This window comes from Homo sapiens, chromosome 2, assembly GCF_000001405.40.
Source record: "Homo sapiens chromosome 2, GRCh38.p14 Primary Assembly".
Taxonomy (NCBI): Eukaryota; Metazoa; Chordata; class Mammalia; order Primates; family Hominidae; genus Homo; species Homo sapiens.
Genome location: NC_000002.12, coordinates 236,098,722 through 236,117,800, shown reverse-complemented (window position 1 = coordinate 236,117,800; position 19,079 = coordinate 236,098,722). Strand labels below are relative to the sequence as shown.

The 19,079-nt window shown below is 51.2% G+C and overlaps 1 protein-coding gene across 4 annotated transcripts in view, besides 4 other annotated features; it reads right to left on the bottom strand.

The window, feature by feature from the left end:
• Nucleotides 1-19,079, bottom strand: part of AGAP1 (ArfGAP with GTPase domain, ankyrin repeat and PH domain 1) — a 637,751-nt gene that overhangs the window by 13,993 nt on the left and 604,679 nt on the right. The gene's annotated exons all lie outside the window — the stretch shown is intronic.
• Nucleotides 8,181-8,704: an enhancer, noted in NCBI's record as "H3K4me1 hESC enhancer chr2:237017741-237018264 (GRCh37/hg19 assembly coordinates)". NCBI's record gives its function as "activates a minimal SCP1, AML or CMV promoter by ChIP-STARR-seq in primed H9 embryonic stem cells {active_cell/tissue: H9 hESC(primed)}" and the evidence as "EXISTENCE:reporter gene assay evidence [ECO:0000049][PMID:30033119]".
• Nucleotides 8,705-9,228: an enhancer, noted in NCBI's record as "H3K27ac-H3K4me1 hESC enhancer chr2:237017217-237017740 (GRCh37/hg19 assembly coordinates)". NCBI's record gives its function as "activates a minimal SCP1, AML or CMV promoter by ChIP-STARR-seq in primed H9 embryonic stem cells {active_cell/tissue: H9 hESC(primed)}" and the evidence as "EXISTENCE:reporter gene assay evidence [ECO:0000049][PMID:30033119]".
• Nucleotides 10,801-11,324: an enhancer, noted in NCBI's record as "H3K4me1 hESC enhancer chr2:237015121-237015644 (GRCh37/hg19 assembly coordinates)". NCBI's record gives its function as "activates a minimal SCP1, AML or CMV promoter by ChIP-STARR-seq in naive H9 embryonic stem cells {active_cell/tissue: H9 hESC(naive)}" and the evidence as "EXISTENCE:reporter gene assay evidence [ECO:0000049][PMID:30033119]".
• Nucleotides 11,325-11,848: an enhancer, noted in NCBI's record as "H3K4me1 hESC enhancer chr2:237014597-237015120 (GRCh37/hg19 assembly coordinates)". NCBI's record gives its function as "activates a minimal SCP1, AML or CMV promoter by ChIP-STARR-seq in naive H9 embryonic stem cells {active_cell/tissue: H9 hESC(naive)}" and the evidence as "EXISTENCE:reporter gene assay evidence [ECO:0000049][PMID:30033119]".

The following is a 19,079-nucleotide window of genomic DNA, read 5'->3' as shown; positions in this document are numbered from 1 at the left end:
TTTTAAAGGCCTTATTTAAAATGTATTAAACGTTTGTTGATGCATTTCATAAATCACAAAAGAGAAGGAGCAAAACGTCAATTAAATGAAAAGGGATGACGGTGAAGGATGCGTCCAGATTTTCCAGTTCCAATTTGCTAACTCTCATTTTTTGGTAGACATTAAAATCCCACAACTATTTGATTCCGCTCCGATTGACTTTAATAGTCATTGCCAAATCACCCAGGGATAAACCACATAACTGAACTAGTAGCTACAGTGCTAACTGCAAGTATTCAATTTCTTTTTAATATTCCCACACCCCAGCCAAAGAATGAGTACGAACCTGCGGCTCCTGAACCCTTCGCTGTGTCAGTATGTTCTCCCCGGGAACTGCTGGAGTGATTCTCTGTCCTCACATCTCACCTCATAGGCAACCTCATCCGAACTGACAAGCTGATACACATTTGAATGAGCTGTTCTTTACTTTTAAAAATCAGCATTGTTGATACCACCTTCATCCTTCAAGAATGGCCATAATCAAAAAATCTAAAAACGGTAGATGTTGGCGTGGATGTGGTGTACAGGGAACACTTCTACGCTGCTGGTGGGAATGTAAACTAGTACAGCCGCTATGGAAAACAGTGTGGAGATTCCTTAAAGAACTGAAAGTAGAACTGCCATTTGATCCAGCAATCACACTACTGTACCCACTCAGAGGAAAAGAAGTCATTATTTGAAAAAGATACTTACACACACGTTTATAGCAGCACAATTCACAACTGCAAAATTGTGGAACCTACCCCAATGGCCATCAATCAACAAGTGGATAAAGAAACTGTGGTGTATATACATATACGACGGAATACAACACAGCCATAAAAAGGAATGGGTTAACAGCATTTGCAGGGACCTCCAATGAGACTGGAGACTATTATTCTAAGGAAAGTAACTCAAGAATGGAAAGCCAAACATCGCATGTTCTCACTGATACGTGGGAGCTAAGCTATGGGGACATAAAAGGTGTAAGAATGATACAACGGACTTTGGGGACTTGGGGGGAAGAGTGGGAGGGGGGCGAGGGATAAAAGACTACAAATAGGGTGCAGTATATAGTGCTCGGGTGATGGGTGCACCAAGATCTCACAAATCACCACTAAAGAATTTACTCATGGCTGGCCGTGGTGGCTTATGCCTGTAATCTCAGCACTTTGGGAGGCCGTGGTGGGTGGTTCTCTTGAGGTCAGGAGTTTGAGACCAGCCTGGCCAACATGGTGAAACCCTGTCTCTACTAAAAATACAAAAATTAGCCGGTGTGGTGGCAGGTGCCTGTAATCCCAGCTACTCAGGAGGCTGATGCAGGAGAATTGCTTGAATCCAGGAGGCAGAGGTTGCAGTGAGCCAAGACTGCGTCACTGCACTCCAGCGTGGGCGACAGAGCAAAACTCTCTCTCAAAAAAAAAAGAACTTAATTAACCAAATACCACCTGTACCCCAATAACTTATGGAAAAAAAATCAGCATTGTTTAAACTATGTAATAAAAGGTAGGTCCAGGTTTTGTGGGCCCGAAACCCACAAAAGGGAGGCTGAGATAGGAGAATTGCTTGAACCTTGTGGAGGGTGGAGGATGCAGTGAGCCAAGATTGCGCCATTGCACTCCAGCCTGGGTAACAAGAGTGAAACTCCATTTCACAAACAAAAAAACAAAAGTTTGCAGCCAGGTGCAGTGGCTCATGCCTGTAATCCTCACACTCCGGGAGGCCGAGGCTGGGCGGGCCACCTGAGGTCTGGAGTTTGAGACCAGCCTGGCCAACATAGTGAAAACCCGTCTCTACTAAAAATACAAAAATCAGCCTGGCATGGTGGCACACACCTGTAGTCCTAGCTACTCAGGAGGCTGAGGCAGGAGAATCGCTTGGATCCAGCAGGCAGAGGTTGCAGTGAGCCAAGATTGCGCCACTGCACTCCAGCCTGGGTGACAGAGCGAGACTCTGTCTAAACAAAACAAAACAAAAACAGAAGCTTTCAATGCTGACTTCTGAGTCCTTTGGGACTGCTATATTTCAGTGTTTTCTCGGACAGTAGGAGGTGGCCAGGGAGTTGGGGCAGCCACTGGGCTTTGTGTCTGCATCAGACGTGATTCTTGTTAGCAGCTGAAATTTCACTAGTATGAAAACAGGACTCAGACAAGGGCACTGGGTTTTTTGGTGCTACTTCAGCAAACTAATGCATGTCAGCCACCTGCTGTGACTTGAAGGCCACCTCCTGTGGATGCTCCCATCCAGATACCAGGGGGAAAGCTTAGCTCCCTGTACTTTCTGCAATGCCCAAAGGCAGGGAAAAGCCAATCTCCCCACCAACACTAAGCTCACAGGCTGCACTCTTAAGCATTAGAGAGACTGTGGCTTATGTGCCTTTTCTCGACTTAGTGGTGTAGACGTTCGCCTTTCTAATAACTTCTTGGACCCTCTTTTCCTCATCTGTCAAATGAGGACAGTGACATCTACACAAGGCAGGGCTGTTTTGGGATTTGGGATCACGCATTTGGATGACACCATGGCCACAGTGGTTCCCCTGCAAACAGCGGCTGTCACGACTGAAGAAAACAACCTCTCTGATAATTCAATGTTATGTGAGCACACAGGAGCTCACCCGTGGAAGCGGCACGTGTGGGGGAAGTGCTGGTGGCACGGGGCCGCGGGTACCGAAGGCCTGCTGGGCACGGGAGGCTTCTAAATCACGGCTGTGTGTACATACGAGCTTCACGCAACTCCTCATGCTCAGCATGGTAGGGGGGATGCTCTTGGCCAGAGGTCTTGCCAAGCCTGCTGGCATCTTGTGAGCTCCCCCGAGGGTGCAGAGGATCCTGAGACTCTGGGGTAAGAAGGAGTCTGGCTGGTTTAAATGACCTCATAGCTGTCAGAGTTGCAGGAGCAACATCTGGTTGGCTCCTGCCCATAGCCTTGAGATGTTTAAGGGCTTCTTGGATGTTAGAGGCTGAGTCGTATCCCATAAAATTCACATGCTGAAGCTTTAACCCTCAATGTTGCTGTATGTGGAGATGGGGTCTTCAGGAAGAGAATTAAGGTTAAATGATGCTATAAAGATAGAGCCCTAATTCAATAAGCCAGGTGCCCGTATAAGAGGACGAGACACTGGTGATGTCTCTCTCCCTCTGAGCACACCCGGAGGAAAGGCAGGACACAGGGAGAAGGCACCATCTGTCAGCCAGGGAGAGAGGTCTCACCAGAACCAACCCTGCGGGCACCCTGACTCCAGACTTCCAGCCTCCAGAACTGTGAGACGTGAATGTCCCGCACTTAAGCCACCCAAGTGTAATACTTTATTTTGGCAGCCTGAGCTGACACATACTCTGGATAGCATCCTTCATCTTTCTCACTAGCGTCTCCATACGCAAGTCACATATGACCAAGGGACACGCTGACAATGGCTTCTTCTCGATGAGACTATTCCGTCTAGAGGCATTTGCCCTAAGAAGCCATGATGTCAAAGCACACAGACTCAAATGGTCACTCGGAGGCCGCAATTCTACTTCTGGGATCCCTGGCTTGTCTTGGCTGAGCCTTTCATTTTCCCCAAGGAAGGCCAGTTCAAGAGCAGGCAGCCGGCAGTAGATCACCTCCCCTCATTCCAATCCCCGGGAGGATCACCGTTCACAGCCTCCGTTAGCTAATGAGCTAAAAAATGAATTATTGGCGCGGCCGGCCGTCAGCAGAAAGGAGGGGGCCCAGTTCCTCATTTGATGTGGTGCTGACACACCTTTAAATAAATCAGCCGCAGGAGAGTGAGGGAAAATGAGGGAATGGGCGACTCATCAGAAGAAAGGCACTGACCCAATCCCCAAAATAAAAAGAAAAGGTACATTTCAGGCGCCATCGTATTTTATATTTGCTTCTCTTCCTGCCTAAAAGAAGAGGTAAAGGTGGCTCTTTACCTCTCTCTGGGCCATGACAGGAAGCCATCCACAGGGACAGCCAGGCACTGAGCACAGGACATAGGAATCACTGGGTAGGTTGCAGGAGCCGTGAACCCTCTGGATTTTTCGGGGTCTGCCAGCTCGGAGACAGACACTCTAGCATTGCTGCCTGACGGGCTTTGCCGCACCTGACCTTGAGGGGTGGTGACTTGGCCAAGGTGGCTTCCCTGTGTCCATCCCAAAGACAATTCTCTTGGACACTCCCCACCTGCTACCCGCATACTTAGTGCCTGCCATGCCAAATCCACTGCATGACTCAGCTGGCAAGGTGTAATCTCCATGTAACCGGAGCACTTAGTGTGGGCTTAAGGATGACAGTAACTGACTTTATTGATCATTCCTGGTAACACCCTCAAGCATGTACACATTTTAAAAAACAAACTCCAGCCGGGCATGGTGGCTCATGACTGTAATCCCAGCACTTTGGGAGGCCGAAGTGGGTGGATCACGAGGTCAGGAGTTCGACACCAGCCTGGCCAACATGGTAAAACCCCATCTCTACTAAAAATACAAAAATTAGCCGGGCATGGTGGCGGATGCCTGTAATCCCAGCTACTCGGGGGGGCTGAGGCAGAGAATTGCTTGAACCCGGGAGGCGGAGGTTGCAGTGAGTTGAGATTGCACCACTGCACTCCAGCCTGGGCAAAAGAGCGAGACTCCGTCTCAAAAACAAACAAAACAAACTCCATATCTAATGTGGAACAAGATGCACACGTGACGGCAGAGTGGTGGCCGTATTTTGGGAAATCGTGGGAAAAAAGAAAGGCTGCAGGAAAGAAGAGACAGGTAGATTTTATTGCAAGTTTCAAAAGGGGAAAAACAGTGGAGAGCCTAGAACTGACAGACCCGGCTTTTCCTTCTTTGAAACACAGCAAGAAGGAAGGAAAGACTTAGGGAATTTTACACCATTCAGCCAGACAGGGCTGCAGAGCGGAAGCAGGGGGGCTCCCAATCTGGCCCCCGCCTTCAGGACAGGCCTGGGGCCATAAGGTGGCCGGCCAGCAACCTAGCAGGGCCAAAGTTCTCTTCTCTGGAAAAAGATGGATGCTGAGCTGCCTTCAACCTGCCCAGGGACCAGACTGAGAGAGCGGGAGAGCGTTCTGTGCGTGTGCGTGTGAATGCGAGTGCCGCCTCCTGCCTCCTGAGCCCCTGAGCTTGGGCCGGGATGCCCACGCTGCTCCCAGTTTGCCCAGCGTCATACAACTCCCAGCACCTGTGAACAGAAAGCAGGTGCTGCACAGACAGCAAGACAGCCAACCCAGCGACGACAGAACCAAGGCAGAGTGAAGAACAGATCAGGAGGGAGGGAACGGGGGATGGAGAGAAGCATTTATGTTTACAGAAGAAAATGTGCAAGTCAGGGTTGTGGGGAGAGAGAGCTTTTCTTTCGTTTTCCTTTTTTTTTTTCGAGATGGAATGTCGCTGTGCCACCCAGGGTGGAGTGCAGTGGCACAATCTTGGCTCACTGCAACCTCCACTTCCTGGGTTCAAGCGATTCTCCTGCCTCAGCCTCCTGAATAGCTGGGATTACAGGCACGTGCCACCACGTCCGGCTAATTTTTGTATTTTTAGTAGAGATGGGCTTTTGCCATGTTGGCCAGGCTGGTCTCAAACTATGGACCTCAGGTGATCTGTCCTCCTCGGCCTCCCAAAGTGCTGGGATTACAGGTGTGAGCCACCACGCCTGGCCTCCAGAGAGCTTTTATTTCAATCTCTGTGGCAAGGACCCAGGGTGGGGGCGAATCATCACATGCAGGCTGCACCGGGCTCTGTCTTGGTGTTACAGGTCCTGGGGTAAAAGCCCGAGGGAAGACCACGTGGGAGCCGTCACTGCAGTGCCCACTGGAGAATGCACCTGAGCAAGACCAGTCGCGTGACAACACTGCCGATGACTCCAATCAAAAGGCAACAACCAACTGTGATGGTTTATCTGTCCTCAAGTGACTGGGGGATGCCATGGGCAGGTCTGTGTGTTCCCAGCACTTCACATTGCCTGATACCGGGATGGACCCTTTCTTTTTTTTTTTTTTTTTTGAGATAGAGTCGCACTGTTGCCTAGGCTGGAGCGCAGTGGCTTGACCAGGGCTCACTGCAGCCTCGAACTCCTGGGCTCAAGCAGTCCTCTCAACTCAGCCTCCCAAGTAGCTTGGAATACAGGTGTATACCACCATGCTTGGCTAATTTTTTGTACTTTTTGTAGAGACGGGGTTGCACCATGTTGCCCAGGCTGGTCTCAAACTCCTGGACTCAAGTGATCCACCTGCTTTGTGCTGGGATTACAAGTGTTGAGACACAGTGCCCAGTCTTCTTCTCTCTCTTTTTTTTTTTAAGACAGGGTCTTGCTATACTGCCCAGGCTGGGTTTGAGCAGGCTGGATTGCTTTGGGCTCAAGTGATCCTCCTACCTCAGCCCCTTGAGCAGTTGCAACTACAGGCGTGTGCCACCATGCCTGCATAATTTTTTTTTTTGTAGAGATAGGGGTCTTGCCATATTGTCCAGGTTGGGATTCAAGCAATCCTCCCACCTCAGCCTCCTGAGTAGCTGGGCCTATAGGCATGCACTACCACGCTCAGCTGGGATCGGCCCTTTCTCATCCCAGTGACTGGAAACACTGCAGTGAGGGTGCCTTCCCTGCACGGATTTATCAACAAAGTCTGCTCTTTTATCACTGCTGTGTGTTTGTGTCACCCCAAATCCATTTGCTGAAATCCTAACTCCCCAAGGTGATGTTATTAAGAGGTAGAGCCTTTGGGAGGTGACTAGGTGATGATGGCCCTGCCCTCATAAATGGGATTTAGTGCTCTTATAAAAGAGGCCCGAGGGGGCTGGTTTGCCTCTTCTATCACGTGAGGACGTAGCAATGAGGTATTCTCCATGAAGCAGAGACCGAACCCTAACCAGACACCGAATCTGCCGGTGCCTCTATCTTGGACTTTCCAGCCTCCAGAACCGTGAGCAAGACACTTCTTTTGTTTATAAATTACCCCATTTAAGGTATTTTGTTATAGCAGCCCCAGAGGACTAAGACAATAATAAACAAAGGCCTTTCTGCATAATTTCTCCATCTTTATTTACAATGCTACATGAGCCAAATGGTGGGTTTTAGGTGATTGATCATGGACATATATTTATATAAATGTAGAGTCACTATTAGACAAACTCTGTTATGCAGACTAGGAAAAGTATCAGTAATGTTCACAGCCAATGCTTATCAAGTATTTGCAATGTGCCAACCACTGACTTGAGGCTTTTTTATTTTTTGAGACAGGGTCTGGCTTTATCACCCAGACTAGAGTGCAGTGGCGCAATCATAGCTCACTGCAGTCTGGAACTCCCGGGCTCAAGTCATCCTCCTGCCTCAGCCTCCCAAGTAGGTGGAACTACAGGTGCACATCACCACGCCCAGCTAATTTTCAATTTTTTTTTTTTTGTAGAGAAGGGGGTCTTTTTCTTTTCTTTTAGAGACAGGGTCTTTCTCTGTTGCCCAGGTTGGAGTGCAGTGGGTTCACCAGTTTGCCCAGGTTGGTCTTGAACTCCTGGCCTCAAGCAATCCTCCCACCTTGGCCTCCCAAAGTGCTGGGATTACAGGTGTGAGTCACTGCACCCAGCCCAGGCTGAACCTTTTACACAATTACCTGGTTTAATTCTAACAACACCTAGTGAGGAAGGTCCTATTCTTACCCCCATCTTAGAGGAGAAGGTCAGTGATACAGAACACTGCCCAGGGTCCCCAGCTGGGACACCCGACAGACTGGCTGCCCTGGCACTGTCTGACCTCTTGCTCAGGGATCTGATGCCTCCCAAATTAGGAAACATCTTCCCATCTGTACAACCAGACTCTCTGGGCTTTGAGAGTCTAGGTGGATCCACAGCATCATTTTCTCATGCTCTCCCTTTGGCCATCTTAACACTTGGTTCTGGTCTCTGACGAAGGGTTAGGTAGGGTTTGCTTCAGAGGAAGAATCTAGAGGTGTGCCCCCCAATGGGGCAGCTGTAAGCTGCCCGTGGGTGTTGACGTGAATTGAAACAAAATAACATTAAAAACACAGTTCCTTTAGACACATTTCCAGTGCTTTACATAAGTATGTGGTTGGCAGCTGCTACCCTGGGATGCTCGGATCCAGAACGTTTCCACGGCTGCCGGTCCAGAGCACCGACGCTGCCGCCGACTAGGACGTTCCCACGGCTGCCGGTCTAGAACACCGACACTGCTGCCGACTAGGACATTCCCATGGCTGCCGGTCCAGAGCACCGACGCTGCCGCTGACTAGGACATTTCCAAGGCTGCTGATCGAGAACACTTCTGCCATTACAGAGGATGCACGGATCTAGATCATCTCAGTTTTTCCTTCCTCCTCTTCTTCCCTATCAAAACTATCTATAATTTATTATTATAAATATTTATAATAATTACAAAGATGAATAATAATTCATGGAATTTTAGAATGAAGAGAAAGGAGATCACTAAAAGGAAAAGGCAAGTCATATAGATACCAGTACCCAAAACAGAAGTGCTGCCCGGGAATGAGGTGCTCGGCAGGGCGGGGTCAGGCTGACCAGGCAGCTGAGTCCCAGAGGTGAGCTTGGTCACTGCTGGTGGCACTGTCATCTATGCACTGGCAAATCCTTGTCAGTGATGAGCAAAGCATAGACCAAGACCTCTGGGGACACCTGGAGAGCGCGGGGAGAGTCACACCTACACACAACTACCTTCAGAGAGAAATGCTGTCTTCCTGCAATGCCCCATTCTCTGTTCCTCATGCATTTGAGAGCTGCAAAGATGAGGTCTCACACAGCCACCATCAGCTGTGTTTTGGTCCTGGCAGGGAAGGGTCAGCACATTGTCAAGGGGTAATAAGGTTAATGGGTTGGATTCCCAGAAAAGAAAGTTTTAAGCAAATAACCACAAAGCTTCTGACTGCCTTTCAGCACTGTCTTGTGGCGGGGTCTGGGAGATGAACGGGACACAGACAAGAGAGCGGGCAGCCAGACGTCCACCTCAGTCCTCACAGGGGCCGCTGTGTGTGGCAGGGCTGGGGCGCTCTGGGGGGCTGTAAAGCAGTCTCTTGGTGGTTTCATCCTCAGCCTTCAAATCTCACAAATGTGGCTTTCTGAGCACGTCTACAAAACACTGAGCAACACCCCTTCCCGAAAGTGCACTCCAGGTCAAGTCTAATGTGCTCATTTTTATTGGAACCCCCTCTCTCTTCCAGTGCGAAAAGGCCAAAAGAAGAATTTGCGTCTGTGTGCCCGCCACTTGTCACAGTCTTTCCTTTGGAAACAGCTGCCCTGCCCCCGCCAACAGGTGGGAGAGGAGTTTGGCAGTGATTTTCAAGGAGATTCTGTAGCAGAGCGGGCTGGCGTGGAGGAACACCCTCAGGGTGAGGAGCAGACACTGGAGGGGACCCGCCCGCCTGGTGTTGAAACTGACAAGGAGGAGAGGAAGGGCAGAGGAAGGAGAGAAAAGAGGGCTAGCAGCAAGGAATTTCCAGAGTGCTTCCTGCCTCAAGCAAAACAGGAACTGGGAGGGGAGGCATGGAAGAGGGGGCTGGAACAATACGTGAGGAAGAGAGAGGGGCTTCCTTTCTCGGTAGGGGAAGACCCCGGCCCACTGCGAGCGGGCGCTGACAGCTGCCTCCCCCTTGCATGCATGCCTTCTCCCTGAGCTGCGTTGCTAGGGGGTCAGGCGGAGGGACGGAGCACAGCCCACAAAGGCCAATGGATATTTATTCCTTAATTACTGAATGCTTTTAAGAAGCTGGCCACTGTAAATCCCGCATGCGGGGAGGAGGAGGCAGTGGACAAGGATTTATGCTAGTGGGGCAAAGACAAAATAAATATCCCGCCTGACTTCTGATCAATATTATGAGTGTTTTTGCCAACCTGCAGGGTGTTTTATGAGCGCAGAGGAACAGAAGAGGATCATTATTAATTAAATAAAGTCAACCATATTAGGCTTATTACTTCTGCAAGTCACAGTTAAATGTGCCCGGCCGCAGGTATGGGGGCTGGCAGATCCCCCGGCAGGTGCAGGCCCCAGGCGGCCCAGGAGAGCGAGGATGTGCCCGGGTACTCTGGCCCCAGCCAGGTTTTCCTGATTCTGCACTGCCCTGTGCAGGCTGGCACAGCCTGTGTTGTTCCAGAAGGGATTGAGGCAAGGGGAGGGCCAGTTACTGGGAGCTGAGCTTAGTCTTGTCCCCAAACCTTCGCCTGAGGTTCGGGTTGAGACTTGGGGCACTCGTGGCTTTGCTGCCACTAGCGCTCCCTGCCTGTTGAGTACCTGACCAGCCTGAGTAGGATAATATTCCTGGATACAAGTCACAGTGCATATGCAACCTCATTCTTCCAGAGTCTTGAGGCAACCTATGGAGACTGTCTGAGGAATCATGAAAGCGCGCAAAAAGGAGATGTGGGACCAGGACAGCAGCCCACAGCAGCCCGGCAGGGAGGATGCGTGAGGCTAGCTAGTGAACCCAGTCAGCTCAGACCCAAGGGTCTGTTTGGTGTCTAGATGTGCCAAGCACTCAGGAAGCACCCAGCACAGAGGAGGAGGGACCCAGGCCTCTCTGGGCAAGGACATGGTTGGCTGTGGGGCCCTGGGCAGCCACCCTCTCCCAGGCTTCAGTTTTCCCTCTGGAGGCTCAATGATTCAAGGCCTGCTGCCTCTGAAGTTTGAGGTTCCGCAGGAGAATCCGCTGGCGGGGGTGGGGCGGGGGGGAACGGGTAAAGAGAGGACAGAAAGCAGCTGCTGCAACCTCGGGAACAGAGAGCTGCCTGCCAGCAAGAGGCCCACACAGCAGGTCCAGACCCTACCCAGGGTGCTCTCTCATTGAGCCTCCGCACAGGATGGCCTTGGCCCAGCTTCCCACGTTGACACATCTGTAAAATGCACCATAGGCCAGGGCAGCCACCCCCTTGTAGACTGCAGCCACCTCCACGGGGCCCAGCACACTCTGTGATATGCAGTTGGGTAAGGAGGCAGCAGGGGTTCTTGGCTTCTCTCTCCTGGGTCCCCATCAGGAAGCCAGACCTTGCCTGGTCCTCTTGACCTACTCCTGCGAGACCTGCAGACCCCATCCTGCTACCACCAGCACCGTGACTTACGCAGGTGGGAAAATGAGCCCATGGCCTGCAGAGAGCCCTGCCCACCAGCTGGCTGTGCGTGACTCCAGCCACCTTCTCCAAATGCATTCATGGGAGCCCAGAATGAAAGAATTGGCTTACGTGAATTCTCGGGTTCCTGGAATCCCAGCATGGCCCCCAGAGCCCACCCTTCTCGAAGCTTTTCACTGCCTACTTGGGATGCCACAAGGCTGGAAGAAGTGTGGTGCCCATCACACAGAGGGCAGGGGCTAGCCGAGTCACGCACACGACAGCCCGGGTGGCACACAGGTGCCCGCCCAGGGGTCCTGAGCCCTGTGCGCTGCCGCAGTGCCTGCACATCAACCCTCCTTAGGCCGGCTCTGGTGAGCTGCATATGGACATCCGCTTCCCACTCAGGCTTGGATGACATGCTAGGAAAGGCCAAGAGAGGCTTGGTCACTGCTGCTCTGCAGATGGACCAACGGTCCTTAGGCTTCAATCAAAGTTCTAAAACCAAGGTCCTCTCCAGCTCCAGCCACACTGATTCCGGTATGTGCTTTGAAATTGGCAAACAAACAGAGCAGACATCCTGATGCCTAGGGCCCCAAAGGCTGCCAGCCAGCCAGCCAAGGGCAGCCAGAAAACAGTGATTTGCTGCAATGCAAGGTGTCCCTGGGAGGGGCAACAGGAGCACTGGTGTGTGTGTGCTCCGGAAAGTCAGTCGCTGAAGCCCTAACCCCCTGTGTGATGGTGTTTGGTGACAGGACCTCTGGGAGGTGATTAGGTCAGGAGAGTAGACTCCCATGAATGGGATTCTCACTCTTATAAGAAGAGGCACAAGAGGGGCCGGGCACGATGGCTCACGCCTGTAATCCCAGCACTTTGGGAGGCCGAGGAGGGTGGATCATGAGGTCAGGAGATCGAGACCACCCTGGCTAACATGGTGAAACCCCGTCTCTACTAAAAATACAAAAACAAAATCAGCCGGGCATGGTGGCGGGCGCCTGTAGTCCCAGCTACTCGGGAGGCTGAGGTGGGAGAATGGCGTGAACGCGGGAGAATGGCGTGAACGCGGGAGAATGGTGTGAACCCGGGAGGCGGAGGTTGCAGTGAGCCGAGTTCACGCCACTGCACTGCAGCCTGGGTGACAGAGCGAGACTGTGTCTCAAAAAAAAAAAAAAAAAAAAAAAGACACGAGAGATGCCCCTCTCCTCTCTCCTCCACATGAGGACACTGCAAGAGGCATCTGTCTATAAGCCAGGAAGAGGCCCCTCACCAGAAATGAATCAGCCAACACCTTGACCTTGGACTTCCCATTCCTCAGAAGTGTGAGGAATACTTTCTGTTGTGTATTTTGTTACAGCAGGCACAGCTCACAGAGCCTTTGTCTTCCTCTCTGTCCTTGGTCCCCCGCTCCGCCCATCTTTCCCCCTTACCTGGCTATCGTGTTAAAACTGAAGTTGACGCAAGACTGTGTGCATGCAGGGTTCTTAAAGTGGGATGTTTTGGATTTTTCCATTCAGACCAATTCACCACTTTGCTCGAATCTAACTGCTTTTCCTTGTAGGTAGCCTGAATGCATGTCTTGCTGGCTTGGAAAGTCAGCCCTGATCTCTGCTGCCCTGGGTGAGGGCCGTGCCTTCTCTCACCGAGACAGACAGAAGGAACTCAGCTTTATCTTCCCACCCAGCAGCCAGGACAGTGTCTCTCCTGATGCTAACCTGCCAGAGTGGAGTTGGTGAAATCCAGTCAGAGCTATGGGCACAGGCTTAGACGGGCATCCACAGCTCTGCTCTGGTACCTCGAGGGCTCTGTGCACGCTAGTCCTTTTTTTTTTCCTTGAGACAGAGTCTCGCTCTGTAGCCCAGGCTGCAGTGCAGTGGCATGAACTTGGGCTCACTGCTACCTCCGCCTCCCGGGTCCCGGTTCAAGCGATTCTCCTGCCTGCCTCAGCCTCCCGAGTAGCTGGGATTACAGGCACGCATCACCATGCCCAGCTAATTTTTGTATTTTTGGTAGAGACGGGGTTTCACCATGTTGGCCAGGCTAGACTTGACCTCCTGCCCTTGTGATCCACCCACCTTGGCCTCCCAAAGTGCTGGCATTACAGGCATGAGCCACCGCGCCTGGCCTGTGCACGCTTGTCTTTGTAACCCAAGTTGGATTCTCTAAGAGGCCAGAGGGCTGTGGCTTTGTAAGGGATTCTGATGGTGGTCCTGACCCTCACAGCCCTGTGCCCCCAAGGAATCTGAGAAGGGACAAGGATTTTGTGAGGGGCAGACAGCACAGGTGCTGGTCGAGGGGCAGGATCCACCCCTGTTGGGGAGTCATTTGATGAGGCTGCAGGATTGAGGTCTCCACCTGTCTAGGAGCACCGCTGGGGGACTTCTCAGCCCCGTGCAGTCAGAGGGCACTGGGGATGGAACAGGATGGAGTGCTGGAGGCTGGACTGCCTTGGGAAACTGGAACTGCCCATGTCAGCCTGGCCTGGTGGCGTATCTCTCACAGCAGCCAACAGGCCTGGCCCTACCAGCGCCCCGGCTGCTGGAGCGGGCCCTCAGCCTCTTCCTGCAGGCCTTTACACAGGCCTCCCGCCTTGCGGGGCTCCTGGGGCAGACCCACTGCCCAAGGCCCCCCACCTAAATGCAAGTGGGAAGTACCTAAGGTTTCACATTGCTGCAGGCCTGGGTTTGAATATTCAATTTCCCTACCCGCAAAAAGGGGATAAAACCCTCCACATCTCAGGGACATAGTAAGGACGTAAGGCGGTTGTGCATGTGGCTCAATGCCTGGGTCAGCCCTTGGTAAACGCACAGGGCAGGGTGGGGACAGGAGCCAGACAGGATGGCGGGGTGCCTAGAAGGGGCCCAGGAGAGGCTGGGCATGTCGCTCACGCCTGTAATCTCAGCACTTTGGGAGGCCGAGGTTGGCAGACCACGAGGTCAGGAGTTCGAGACCAGCCTGACCAACATGGTGAAACCCCAACTCTACTAAATACAAAAATTTAGCCAGGTGTGGTGGTGGGTGCCTATAATCCCAGCTACTTGGGAGGCTGAGGCAGGAGAACTGCTTGAACCCAGGAGGTGGAGGTTACTGTGAGCCGAGACCACGCCATTGCACTCCGGCTCTGGACAACACAGCAAGACTCTGTCTCAGGGGGAAAAAAAAGAAGAAAAGAAAGAAAGAAAGGAAAGAAAGGAAAAAGAGAAAAGAAAGAAAAAAAAGAAAAGAAAAGAAAAGAAAAAAGAAAGACAAACAAACAAGGGGCCCAGGAGAAAAAGATGGAGCCTGTGCTGAGGTGGGGGGCGGGGAGTGGCCCAGCAGGGTCAGACTGCACAGGCTGTGAACAAAATGAGGACCAGCCAGCCCAGCTGCCCCCTTGGGGGCTAACATGCCCCAAACTGGGTGCTCAGGGCTTGTGACCAATGGGTGGGACCATGCCTTTAGAAACAGCAGAGCTTGGCACCCGGGGTGACTGACCAGTGACCTCGGTGTAGAGATTTTTCCTTTTTCTGGGAGGCAGTGGGCGGAGGTGAGGCCGGAGGATGGAACGGGACAGAGGTGCTGGTTTTGGTGAGGGAGACCCCTCCACGACACATGTGCTGTCTGGAGCAGGGAGGAGGCGCTGTGCAGGGGGCTGAGTCTTCTGGGAGTCACGGTCAGAATGCAGGCCATTAATGGGTCGGGCCCTGGAGATGTGGCACCCAGGAGGCCAGGCCTGGGGGTGGGGGGTGGGCAGAAACCCCGGAGGGGAGGGGATAGGCAGAGCCAAGAGGTGGGGCGGGGGCTTGCGGTGGGAGAACAGAAAGCAATTTTGAAGTCTTTTAAGACAATGACTTTTGAAAAAAAAGTTACACTATTAGCGAAAGGCAAAACATCCAGAATGTTCCAGAAGCAGCCGGACATATTTTTATTTTTAGTATTTCCCCACCATTTTCTAATCTGTTGTAAAACAACACAACAAAACACGGGACGTTTACAGGAAAAATCGCCAGTGACACCCCCTTAACTCACAAAGTCTCATTGTGTCTCTGAGCCCCTTCCTGCCATTCTCCACTTGCAGACGTGTTTTACCCACTCGGCATTTAACACAGGCACCTTTATTATTCTGCTCAAAGGAAGTTTTCTTTCTTTCTTTCTTTTTTTTTTTTTTTTAACAGTCTCTCACTCTGTCGCCCAGGCTGGAGTGCAATGACGCGATCTCAGCTCACTGCAACCTCTGCATCCCGGGTTCAAGTGATTCTCCTGCCTCAGTCTCCTGAGTAGCTGGGATTACAGGCATGAGCCACCACACCCAGCTAACTTTTTTTTTTTTTTTTTTTTGAGATGGAGTCTCGCTCTGTCGCCCAGGCTGGAGTGCAGTGGCATGATCTCGCCTCAATGCAAGCTCTGCCTCCCGGGTTCACGCCATTCTCCTTGCCTCTGCCTCCTGAGTGGCTCGGACCACAGGCACCCGCCACCACGCCCGGCTAATTTTTTGTATTTTTAGTAGAAACAGGGTTTCACCGTGTTAGCCAGGATGGTCTCGATCTCCTGACCTTGTGATCCGCCCGCCTTGGCCTCCCAAAGTGCTGGGATTACAGGCGTGAGCCACCGCGCCCGGCCTAATTTTTGTATTTTTAGTAGAGACGGGGTTTCACCATGTTGGCCAGGCTAGTCACGAAATCCTGGCCTCAAGAGATCTGCCTGCCTCAGCCTCCCAAATTGCTGGGATTATAGGCATGAGCCACCGGGCCCAGCCTCAAAGGAAGTTTTATAAGGGAAGTTTGTGACTTCATTTGGAAACTGTGTGTGAGTATGTTTGCACAGAAACATAGCTAAGCCATGCTAGTCACACACAGAATGGAAGTTTCTGTACTTCACCATTAGAAAAAATGTGAACTACTGTTTTAAAGCATAAATCCCGATAAATGTGTACCCAGTGAGAGGGAGCCCGAGCCAGCGGGGTGAGGCCGTCCTAGACTCCGCGTAACGTGGCATGAAGCCCACGGCGGCTCTGCTGGTGCAGCCGCCATCACAGTGAATTCCGTTCACCATAACAGCGGCTGATGTGATCGGCTTTGGAACATATCGCATCATAAACAGATAAGGGAAGAGAAATGGCCCTTTTCCTCCGCTCCGGATCCCGTAAAGTGGATGTAAGCCCTCGCTGTACGTGCACCGACGCCCTTTAAACACCAGGGAGAGGAACAGCCAAGGCTCTTCTCACACGGAAGAGGCGGGGACAGGCCGGAGTGACTGCAGAGGGCCCAGTTCAGGCCGGTGGCTTCTCAGGGATTTGCTGGCTAAGTGGCTGTCAAACCTGAGAAAGAGAAGGTCGCAGGCTATGACACGGCGACACATTCAGAAAAAGCTGCAGAGAACTCCAAGTAGGCTTCCAATAAAAACTGCCAAGTGGCTTTAAGAACTGCGGCCTGTGGTAATATTATTGTTTAAAGACATAGGACCATTGCTTTGGAACAATAAGGAGTCTTCTTAATGTGGTATACCTTTTAATCTGCTTGTGGTGGGGGATCACAACAGTTCCAACAGCCAAAAACAAACAGTACCAACAACAGAGATTTTAAGAGAGGACAGGCATGGGAGTGGGGAATAACCAAAGGGAAACACATTGAAAATCAATTTGGATTTTGACTTTTTTCAAAATATGAAAACATGGAAACATGCTGAAAGAAACTGATGGAATGAGGGGCCTGGGTCTGCGGACCCCTGTGTCAGCCTAGCTGATGCTCACATTCTTTGCAGTGGGGTTGCCCTGCATGAAGCCACTCACTCCAGCCAAGATGAATTCCATCCAGGGTAATGACAACTGAAATTTTATTACAGACTGGATGGCGTTTCCAGAGAAAATCCAACAAATGCACAACAGTTGGGTTTTCTTTCTCAACTAATTTTTTTTTTTTTTTTTCTTGAGAGGGAATCTTACTGTGTTGCCCAGGGTGGAGTGCAGTGACACGATCTCGGCTCACTGCAGCCTCCGCTTCCTGGGCTTAAGCGATTCTCCTGCCTCAGCCTCCCAAGTAGTTGGGACAATGGGTGTGCACCACACCACGTCTGGCTAATCTTTTTTGTATTTTTAGTAGAGACGAGGTTTCACCATGTTGGGCAGGCTGATCTTGAACTCCTGATCTCAACTGATCTGCCCACCTCGGCCACCCAAAGTGCTGGGATTGCAGGTGTGAGCCACTGCATCCGGCCTCAACTAATCTTAACCTGAAAAACAATAAAAATATCAGAGTCAAATCTATACACCCACTAGGTGTTTTTCCCCCCTAAGTTTGGCTGTGTAGCTGGGAAGCTGATGAGAATGATTCATCATGAATACATAAATTAATTCTCCAGAGTAAGGAAAGCATTATTATTTAACAAGCTAAGTGAAATTCTTTCATTAAAATCACCAAACCTATCACTAATGGGATCAGGAGGCAGAAACTGGTCAGATGTTTTATTTTCTACCATCGACACAGAGTTTAACTTGCTCAATGTCACTGACTTTGATAATGCAAAATCAAAACTCTCTGCTGAGCTTCTTGGTGAGAAAGGAACCTTAGAAGAGGGGCACGGAGGGGGCCTCAGGGGTCTCCTAGTCCAACGCTGGCTGCATGGGTGTGGATCTCTACGGTTGCAAAGGCCCAGTGCTCAGAAGGGGCCCATGCTCGGTTCTGCTCTTACCATCTTGAGATTCTTTTTTATTGTTTTTTGAGATGGAGTCTTGCTCTATTGCTCAGGCTGGAGTGCAGTGGCCTGATCTCGGCTCACTGGAACCTCTGCCTCCCGGGTTCAACCAATTCTCCTGTCTTAGCCTCCTGGGTAGCTGGGATTACAGGCACATGCCACCATGCTTGGGTAATTTTTGTATTTTTAGTAGAGACGGGGTTTCACCATATTGGTTAAGCTGGTCTCGAACTCCTGACCTCAGGTGATCCACCTGTCTCAGCCTCCCACAGTGCTGGGCTTACAGGTGTGAGCCACTGCGCCCAGCCTCAAATTCTTGATAAAAATTGAAATGGGCCTCAAATTCTCTAGCTGATCCTGGAGAGCCCAGCTGCTTTCAAGTGTCACTTGGTGGCAAAGATATCACCAAATCCTCTGAGAAACAATAAAAAACCATATAGTGAGGTTCTCAGAAAGCCAGTTTTGAATCTGTAGGGCAATTCTGATGTTACGGCCTCCCTATGATAAAATGTCCTTTTTTTGAAAGGATGGTGACAGCAAATGACTTATTTAATGTCCTGAATGCTGCAAAATTAAGAACCAAGCACCATATTTCTTTTCTTTTTTTTTTTGAGGCGGAGTCTCGCTCTGTCGCCCAGGCTGGAGTGCAGTGGTGTGATCTCGGCTCACCGCAACCTCCTCCTCCTGGGTTCATGCCATTCTCCTGCCTCAGCCTCCCGAGCAGCTGGGACTACAGGCGCTCGCCACCACGCCCAGCTAATTTTTTTGTATTTTTTTAGTAGAGATGGGGTTTCACCCTGTTAGTCAGGATAGTCTCAATCTCCTGACCTCATGATCCGCCTCCCTCGGCCTCCCAAAGTGCTGGGATTACAGGCGTGAGCCACCGCACCTGGCCCCAAGCACCCTATTTTTATTCCCCAAATATATTTTGAAACCTGACATAACTGGGAAGTCCCCCCGGCCCACCCTGTCCCTCCTTGCAGTGAAGTCCTTGCCCAGCAGCCTACCTGCTGGCTCCCCCGCTGGGGAGGTGGGGCTAGTCTGCTCCTAGGACTAGCCTCCTTCCTCTAGTCCTTACATCTCTAGGAAGTAAGGATCTAGTCCTTACGCACTAGGATGTTTGGAGGCCTTTAGAAAGGGCTTTTAGGGCCAGGTGGGCTCACACCTGTCATCCCAGCACTTGGGGAGGCTAAGACGGCAAGATCACTCGAAGCCAAGAGTTTGAAATCAGCCTGGTCAATATGAGACCCTGTTTCTATAAAAATTAAAAAAAATTAGCTGGGTATGGTGGTGCACGCCTGTAGTCCCAGCTACTGGGGAGGCTGACGCAGGGGGATCGCTTGA